Here is a 9,921-nt window from a genome sequence, read left to right on the forward strand (position 1 = left end):
CTATACCTACTAGAATAGAACTTCTTTAAGAGATTATATAATCAAATTTGGAAATATATTTAGAGAAGAGAAAATATTATATACTCGTAAAATGAAGGCCTTTCTATGTTAGAGACACATAAACATAAAAATATACAGGAGAGGAAATTTATAACTTCAATTCTAAAATTTTAGTCCTTTGTCAAGCATAAACACAGAAATACAAACTTACCAATTCATATATATACTTCCACTTCCTGGTAGGCATGTAACTCTCAATTGATCTGATCTCAAGATAAACAAAGAGACAAACTAAAAAGATTAACAAACCATGTTCTCTGTCTTTCTGCCGACAGATACAAGATCTCTGTAAACCTTCAATCAATTTACATAAAAAGCCAAATGATTAGATAATAAAGCCAAAAGACGCTAGCACCAGAAATCAAGTAAAAAATCAGGACCCAAAATTAATTATTTATCACCCAACAAAAGAGTCAGTAGCATGAAAAGAGCTGAGTTCACTGTTGAGTTCTAGACCTTCAGGAGCACAAAAAAAGAGTTGCCAAGAGGCTTCATTTACTTGAGGTGAGTTCATTGTGTTATGAAGGCAGGGTCAGAGCCTACCTGAGTCATGGTATGAAGACTGCGAAGGACAAACTGCACCAGACAATTGAAGATATTATTTTTTTCAGGATGTTACAACAGAGTTATTATACACTTATAAGTGACTTCGCAAAGAAAATGAGGGTGGCCTTATGGGAGTCATGAGGAAAAATAGACATAGGTCTTTTTCTCTGAGTACACAACAACAAAGTAGTCCTTTCCAGTTAGCCATTTCTCAGAACACAGAGGACTGGAAACATCTCTCGACCATTGCTGTTTTCTAGTGATACAAGACTGAGATAAAATTAAACATTGTCAGTTTTTTAATGCCTTCATGTAATATTGAATTTTTGATTCTGTAACTTTATTGACACTGTTTATTCTTTGAAAGTCCTGTATGCCCTGACATATGAAAGCTTCCTGACAGAACTTTCTTACCTGTATCTTCTTGGGTTCAGTTTATCATAGAACAACTTTAATATCAATGTAATAACTTTAGTTCACTCACTGAAAACGGATAGTGTGAAATCAGACCAAAAGTAATGCAATGCATTTGTCCTGAGATTTTATTTTCACATCATTTATTTTTCCCTCCTCCTTCTCCACCTCCTTCTCCTCCTCCTTCTCCTTCTCCTACTCCTTCTACTCCTCCTCCTCCTCCTCCACCTTCTCCTCCTCCTCCTTCTCCACCTTCTCCTCCTCTTCCACCTCCTCCTCCACCTTCTCCTCCTCCTCCTCTGTCGTCTTCTTCTTATTCCTTTTCTTCTTCTTCTTCCTCCTCCTCCTCCTTCCTCTTCTTCCTCCTCCTCCTCCTTCTTGTTCTTTTCCTCCTCTTCCTCCTTCTTCTTCTCCTTCTCCTTTTCCCTCTTCCTCCTCCTCCCCCTGCCTTTCCTCCTCCCCCTCCTCCTCCTCCTCTTCCTCCTCCTCCTCCTTCTTCTTCTTCTTCTTCTTCTTCTTCTCCTTCTAATATAAAAAATAAAATTAAAGCTTGTGTGTACCCTTGTGTGTCCCTTTGGGTTGAGCTCTCTAATAGACATATTTTGCAGGAGGGATTACATAGGAAGAGACATACTAACAGTGCTCTCGGAATCAACACCTATGAAAGGAAAGAGAACTCAATATTGGACAGAGGGAAAATTCAAGCTATGCATTATCAACAGATGAGTTGCCTGCTCCTGTGAGAAGCCCTGGAGGTGGAATGACTATACATTTTTTTTTTTTCCTGAATCCTATGCTCAGACACTGAAGATGGGCCGGCCCAGTAAAGGGGTATACATTTGGTCAAAGTGGCTCTTTTTAGTTGAGGCCATCTCCTGAAAGAGCTTATAGGTGAGAGTTGTCTGCTGTAGCTGGGGAATAAATTTTTATTCCCAAGCAGAAATCTCAATACCCCCATGCAGTGTCCACAGAGTATTTTCCCAAAATGATGGGGAGAATTTGGAGCCCTAGGATTTATGCAAGGGGTTCAATTCTAATTTATTCACCCTACTCAGGCTCATACTCCAATTTTTTTTTTTTTTTTTGCACCTGGTCTGCATGTTAGAATACCAGTTTGTAGCTTTTAAACCCTACAGCTTATTATAAATGTTAGGGTTTTCCACTTCTCGTTAATGCTTTTGCCTTGATTGCTTGCTTCAATTTTAGCATTCTTACATTTATCTTCCTTTAGAGTTCAACTCTAAATTTGTATTTTATTCATAATTATTTCATAGCATTTTTCAGGTCATTTTATTACTGTGTGTTCCTTAGATTCTAACACCCTATGTTGTTGTACTGACTGCGTCATTGATTCTGTTTCTTGATGTGAATTGCATTTGTTCCCTGTGACTAATTTCCTGTAATTGCAGCCAGAGAGGGTTCTGTTTTCATCAGCTCAGTCCAAGGTGATCAGTATTTTCTTAACATAATGTTTACCTTGAATATATTATGATTTTAATTGTGAAATGCTATTCAATTTTTTAAGGATTCCCTCAGAAGTAATGTGCTCTGTAAAGTTTAGGAGACACAATATTTTATAGATTTTGCTAGTAAAACCAGAATTAGAAACTTGTACTTTTTGACATTGACACATGCCATTATTGCTATATAGGAAATCTCCATAACATCAACATCAATTTCAAGTAAAAAATAGGGCACTATTTATCTCAAAACCAAGTTAGCCCCAAGTCATGATCACATTATTGTCATTTACTCTTTGTAAATACTGTTACATGTGACACCTGTCTTTGCCAATAAAATCCATAATCCTGGAGAGCAGATAATGTATTTTCAATTTTCTTTGGCCTCACCCACGTTATTTGGGACAAAGCCCAAAAATATATGGGTATTTAGTCCTTATGGAGGCACAGAATGATGTAGAAATGAGAGAGGGAGAATGCCAGCATGAGTGGTTGCCAGGTTCATTGGCAAGCATCTTGGCAACGTCTTACCTGAAGAGGCAGCATGACGTGGTGGAAAGAGGTGGATTTTGAATCAGACGAACTTCGGTTTTCATCCCAGCTCTGCTGTGCACTAACTGTGTAACCTTGGGCAAGTACTTAAAGTTTCTCAATCTTGTTTTTTCTTTTTTTTCCACCTGAGAAATGTAGTTAATAATACCTAACTCACAGGTGTTTTGTGAGTATCAAATGAATATAAATCATCTTGCAACATCTTGACAAAATTAGTAATTGCAAAAAAAAAAAAACAAAAAGCCGATTTGCTCTGTTAAATTCATAGAAGGCACAGGAAAAAATCTCTCTTCCATTGGCCTTGGCAATAAATTTTTAAATGTGCCACCAAAAGCCCAAGCAATAAAGGCAAAAACGAACCAGTAAGACCACATCAAACTAACATGCTTCTGCACAGCAAAGGAACCAATCAACAAAAATCCACAAAATAAAAAGAAGAACTACGGACTGGGGAAAAAAACATTTGAAAACCATACCGATGATCAAGCGTTAATATCTAAAAATATAAGAAATTCACAAAACTCAATAGCAAAAGAAAATTAAAGAAAACTAACCTGATTAAGAAATGAGCAAGAACCTGAATAAACGTTATTCCAAAGAAGATATACAAATGGCCAAGAAGTAAATAAAAGAATGTGCCACATTACTAATCACCCAGGAGGTGTGAATCAAAACTATGAGATACCACCTCATGCCTGTTAGAATGGCAATTATCCCAAAGACAAGAGATAACAAACTGCAGGGTATAGAGAAAAGGAAACACTGTATGCTGTTGGTGGGAATGTAAATTAGTAGACATGTAAAACAATATAGAACTTCCTCAAAAAATTAAAAATAGAACTACCATATGGTCCAGGAATCCAACTTGTGGGTATATATCCAAAGGAAATGAAATCAATATTTTGTAGAGATATATGCAATTCCGTGTTCATTTCAGCATTATTCACAATAACCATGACAGAAAAACACAGCCTAAGAGTCTATCACTGGATGAATGCAAAAAGAAATTGTGATGTATGTGTTTATGTGCATATGTGTGTGTGTGTATTGTAAGTGTGTGTAATGAAATATTATCCAGCCTTAAAAAAGGAGATCCTGCCATTTGTGGCAAAAATGAATAAACCTGAAGTGCATTATGCCAAACGAATGAAGTCAGATACAGAAATAAAAACTACTTCATGATATCACTTATATGTGGAATTTAGAAAGAGCCAAACACACTGAGACAGAAAGTAGAACACTGGTTACCAAGGGCAGAGAAGGGGAAGAAATGAGGAAATGTAAATCAAAAGGTACAAAGTTGCAGTTATGTAAGATGAAGAAGTCTAGTGATCTAATGTACAGCATGAGGACCGTAGTTAATATTATTGTATACTAAAAATTTTCTAAGATAGGAGATTCTTGTGCATTTACCACACACACACCACACACACACACACACACACACAAGATAATTTTGGGGGGTGAAGGATATACTAATTTGCTTGACTATAATAATAATTTCATGATGTATATGTATATCAAATCATCATATTGTATACTTTAAATACATAGAGTAATTTAAAAACATAACAGGTTTTCCTTCCTTACAGCAATGTTGCTCCAAGTATGTTCCCAAGATCATCGTGCCTGAATAAACTTAAATGCCAATTAAAAGTTTAGATTTCTTGACCAACCCTCAACGTCCAGCTTTGTATCAAAATCTTTGGGAATTGTGTCTGGGGAATCTGCCACTCCCAGCAAAGTAAAACCCCAGGTGCATCAAAAATAGATGAGAGCTAGAAAAAAATATATATAATATGTATATATATATGGTTTAAAAAATAAAAATTGGACAGACTATATAATAATATATAATAATCTGCCACTCCCAGCAAAGTAAAACCTCAGGTGCATCAAAAATAGATGAGAGCTAGGAAAAAAAAAAAAAATATATATATATATATATATATATATATATATATGGTTTAAAAAATAAAAATTGGACAGAAAAATAGAGTGGGTGGAGTGATGGTGAGGACTAGGGATGTGCAGGCAGACAGCAGCAGAGGCCAACAGGCAGCCCATGACCAGTTATCATCACTGCAGGACCTTAGAGAAGAATTGAATAGCCGAGCCCCTGCTGTTGCTTGGCTCACTTGCTAAACAGCCCTGCCCAATACAGAAGCCTGATCTCCAACAATCTCAGGAACAAGTTGGGAATTAGTATGATTGGTGTTTAAATGGACTTTGAACAATTTTGTTCCATTGTATTATTTTGGGCTCTTTAAAGAAATTTATTTAGTGGAAAATTCTTTATGGATGAAAGACAGTGATAAATGACAGTAACTGCTGTAGAGAGAGAACTAAATTATTTTCTGCAATGTGAGGAAAGAAATTTTTGTTTTTATCCTTTGCAAATAGTATGAAATTATCCAGACCTTTCCATCTCTAAGTGGTGTTACTTTGTCTCTCTCGTATTTTTAATATCCAGGGCAATATTTACCATTATGGAATATCATCCCTGCTGGTCTCAGCTCTTCCACAATGACTACTTTCTAACTGCAGACTACAACATACCTAACCTTATGGCTTTCCAGGAGTTTTCTGTAGTTTGTAAACTAAAGGAGGTTACGACAATGCAATGCCCATACCAGGGGACTAAGTGAAGCTGAGCCCTAAACCCTACCTCAAGGACAAGGAAACATGATTCATTAACACCAATTAGGGGAGTAACAGGTTTCCCATTTCTAATATGTTAGTAGCTGGTTCATAGATACTGAAAAATTAAGTAGCAAAGGATCTGATAACTTATTCAAACAAGCTTTATTTAATATTTTTAAAAACTAACTGACACCCTTATCTGCACACCACCCCAGATAGGTGTAAATAAATACTCAAAATGAACAAAGTCCTGGAGCAAGGTGCTTAGGGGAAGGACCAGCCCTGTTTTTAGGGGCTCTGTCTTACCTGATTAATCAGTGGAGAGTTGGCCCTCACTGGTGATCCCAGGAACCCAATATGAGCACAAATCAGCCCACTGAAATGCAGAAGAGGCTACACACTTAGGAGGCTAATTTCTTCTGAACTGGTGAGCAGTGACAATAAAGGTGGTTTTGCCATGCTGAGAGGCAAATAATCTGTTGCCCACCCCATCCAATTCTCCAAATGTGTTTAAATCACTAATGAAAATGAGTCCAGAGGCTTCCACTGGGCCAACATTTTGCATATCAGGAAAACACCATACAATTCAACTTGAGCGGCAAATCTCTTCTCAGACACCACACAGGGCTGCTGGAATAGGAGTAGAAGCTTGCAGGTCAAGAGAGGCATGAATTCTTAATGCCCCAAGAGTCCAAGGACAGAATAGCAGGGACAGGACAGAATATCATATTCAATTATTTATCAAGTTCATTTATAAAAATAAACCCAATACCTAGACCAATTGGTGCATATGGGAGAGTAGCATGTATATCAATAAATAATACAGATGATTTGATTCGGCTCTCCACAGATTTTTTTCTCTCCTTATATTTTAAGGATAGAATGTGACATCTGGCAGCACACAGTATCTGGTACCATATATTTTTGTTTTATGAACAGTGCCCCAAGCCACAAATATACATGGAATATAAAGTTGCCACGCAAATGTGAAGAAACCTTCTTATTTAGTCCTCTAAATTTATTTTTAAATAAGAATAACAATAATAGCAGCTACAATTTCATGTGTGCCTAGATATTATATTTCAAATAAAGAGAAACTATACCAACTTCATTTGCCTATATGACACATCCAGTGATATGTAAATATGTATAAATCTAATAATAACTTTGTAAATTAATAGTTAATATTCCCAGTTTGCAGATGTTATTGTGATTCACAGAGATTAAGTATTTTCCCCAAAATCAGACAACAAATGAGTAAGTAGCATATCTGAGATGAGATCCCAATACTTTATATTATTTAGCCAGAACCTGTTTTATGGCATTATTAGCAGTTTTGGTCAAGAAAAGTCTCTCATATTTAGGAAGAGGACTAAAATATTATACCATCCTAACATTTAACTTGTGGGTAGTAATGATCACAGTGATTTATATTCTGATGATTTTTTGTAGTTGATAAAATACTTTTACATATAACATTTATTCAATCAAAAGTTATAGAGTACCTGTAGTATACAAACGACTATGTCATGTGCTAGATACACAGGTAAAAAAAGAGGTAATGCTTCCTTTGTGAAGATTACAGTGTGGTGAGGGAAGAAAGGCAGTAAGTCTGTATAATAAGAGCTTATAATAAGAGCTATGATAAAGTACTCAAGAAGTAAAGATAAGAGTCCTCTACCTTAGCATGGTGGTCAGGAAATTCTTTATAGTACTTTTAACTTCATTAGTTATTATTATTATTATTATTATTGAGGCTGAGTCTCACTCCGTCACCAGGCTGGAGTGCAGTGGTGTGACATCGGTTCACTGTAACCTCCACCTCCTGGGTTCAAGCAGCTCTCCTGCCTCAGCCTCCCGAGTAGCTGGGACTACATGCCTGCGAAACCACGCCAGGCTAATTTTTGTATTTTTAGTAGAGATGGGGTTTCACCGTGTTGGCCAGGATGGTCTCGATCTCCTGACCTCGTGACCCCCATGCCTCAGCCTCCCAAAGATTAGTTATGATTTTTTAATCACTTGTAGGCATTCGGAAAACAAAAGGAGAGATGGAGAGAGGCAAGATAGACATTTTGAGCATAACATATAAACACCTGTGCTACATTGGTATGAAATAGGATTCAGTCTTTACTCAATTGCAAGTGGTTGATTTGGATTTGAACAAATCATGCTTATACGGGCATTGGTGGAAAATGAAACTGCAGAGGCAACCAGAGGTCAGATTATTATTATATTTTATATCGTGATTAGTATAAGGGGTTTGAGCTTTATCTCAAGAAGGAGACTTTGATGGAATTTAAAGGGATCGGAAGACCTGGTTAGATATCTGCTTTAGGAAGACCATCATGTCATCAGTGTGAAGATAGAATGGGGGTAATAATGGGAGATTATTGTGATTGTAAAAAATTTCAGGCCGGGCGCGGTGGCTCCCGCCTGTAATCCCAGCACTTCGGGAGGCCGAGGCGGGTGGATCAAGAGGTCAGGAGATCAAAACCATCCAGGCTAACATGGTGAAACCCCGTCTCTACTAAAAACACAAAAAATTAGCCGAGCATGGTGGCAGGTGCCTGTAGTCCCAGCTACTCTGGAGACTGAGGCAGGAGAATGGCGTGAACCCGGGAGGTGAAGCTTGAAGTGAGCTAAGATCGTGCCACTGCACTCCAGCCTGGGTGACAGAGAGAGACTCCGTTTCAAAAAAAAAAAAAAAAATGCAATAAGATATTCAGATAGAAAGTTATAGTAATCCATATAAGAATGAAGCCCTTATCTGAGCGTGCAAAGGAATGCAGAGGAGTGTATGGGCAGGTGATAGTCTTAGGACATTGAGATCATACCTTCTTATGCCTGATCTCATGGTTTTAGAGGATTGAATGAAAAAGTAGATTCCATTATGAGGCCCTAGCTTCTGGCAAAGGTGACTGAATGAATGGTCACATACTATATTACTAAAAACATTGAGACAATGATTTTGTAAGGTAGGCAGGCCAGGTAGATATGTTACCACCATTTTGCCACATGAGGAAACTGAAATTCTGGAAAAAGATAGCTAAGGTAGTCCACTGTATTATGCTATTTCCATTATAATTTAGTCAACACAAGATACTTATATGAACATACATCTAAATAGATTTGTTTAAACTCACATCAGTGGATGTACACCTTACGATAAAGTCAGCATAATCACATGTTTACATTACTTCCAAGAATCTATAAGGTACAAAGTATAGTTCAAGGAAAAATTAATCAATTTTAGAAATGGTAATCCTCTTTATTCAGTGAGAGGTATAAAAACATTGACAAAATCAGACCTTACCTATATTAGAAAGGAATAAGATGGGAGTGGTACTACAAGTATTTAATTCCACCAACTATCTTCTCAGTCTTAATGCTAATATAATTTTTAAAGAGATTTTGGAGCAGACATAACTTAATTATTGAGCTAAGATAAACTGATCATCTAATTTCCTTAGTTGGATAATAAGATGGATTTAAAACTTGTAGTATACATCCTTTTTCTTTACCTTTAAGACTCTAATAGTGGAAATAGGATATGTTCCACTCAGAATAAGACACATGGGCAGATTAGTGGTTGAGGTATTCAGTGAGGCTGGCATTGAGTAACACTTACTATGTCAGAAGAGCCATTAAGAGCTTCTGGGTGCAGAATACAGAAGCCCAGTCAGGTGTCAAAAACCTAGTTACATGTCAAGATGCCCAGGATGGACTCAGGAAAGTCTTTTTTGTTTTTGTTTCCTTGGGCTAGTTTTGGTAAGATGCCCTTACCGAGTGAAGTGGATGTTTGACAACTTCTCGTTAAGTAGGTATTCATTGGGTACATAAGATAAATACTTTAAAAGTGTAAAAAGATTAAAAAAATACTACCCTCAGATAAGAAAAACATAAAATTTCTCTTCTGCATATTGATATTTTGTGTCATGTTTCTCTCCATTTTACTTTAAAAAAATTATGTAGCAGAAACATTTTGTTTCGTTACATAAATCTATGATATTAAACTCATGATTAGATTTGTGTAACCACCACCACAAGCAGGATACAGAACAGTTTTATCACCCAAAATAATTTCCTCATGCCGTCCTTTTGTCATAAAGCCCTCCCCTAATACCTAACCGCTGGAAACAATGAATTGTTCTCTATCACCATAGATCTTTTCAAGAATGTCACCTAAATTAAATTCTATGATATGTTACTTTAAAAGAGTGTTCTCTTGGGATCAACCCTATTAACT

This window comes from Homo sapiens, chromosome 18 (genome assembly GCF_000001405.40).
Source record: "Homo sapiens chromosome 18, GRCh38.p14 Primary Assembly".
In the NCBI taxonomy this organism is placed as follows: Eukaryota; Metazoa; Chordata; class Mammalia; order Primates; family Hominidae; genus Homo; species Homo sapiens.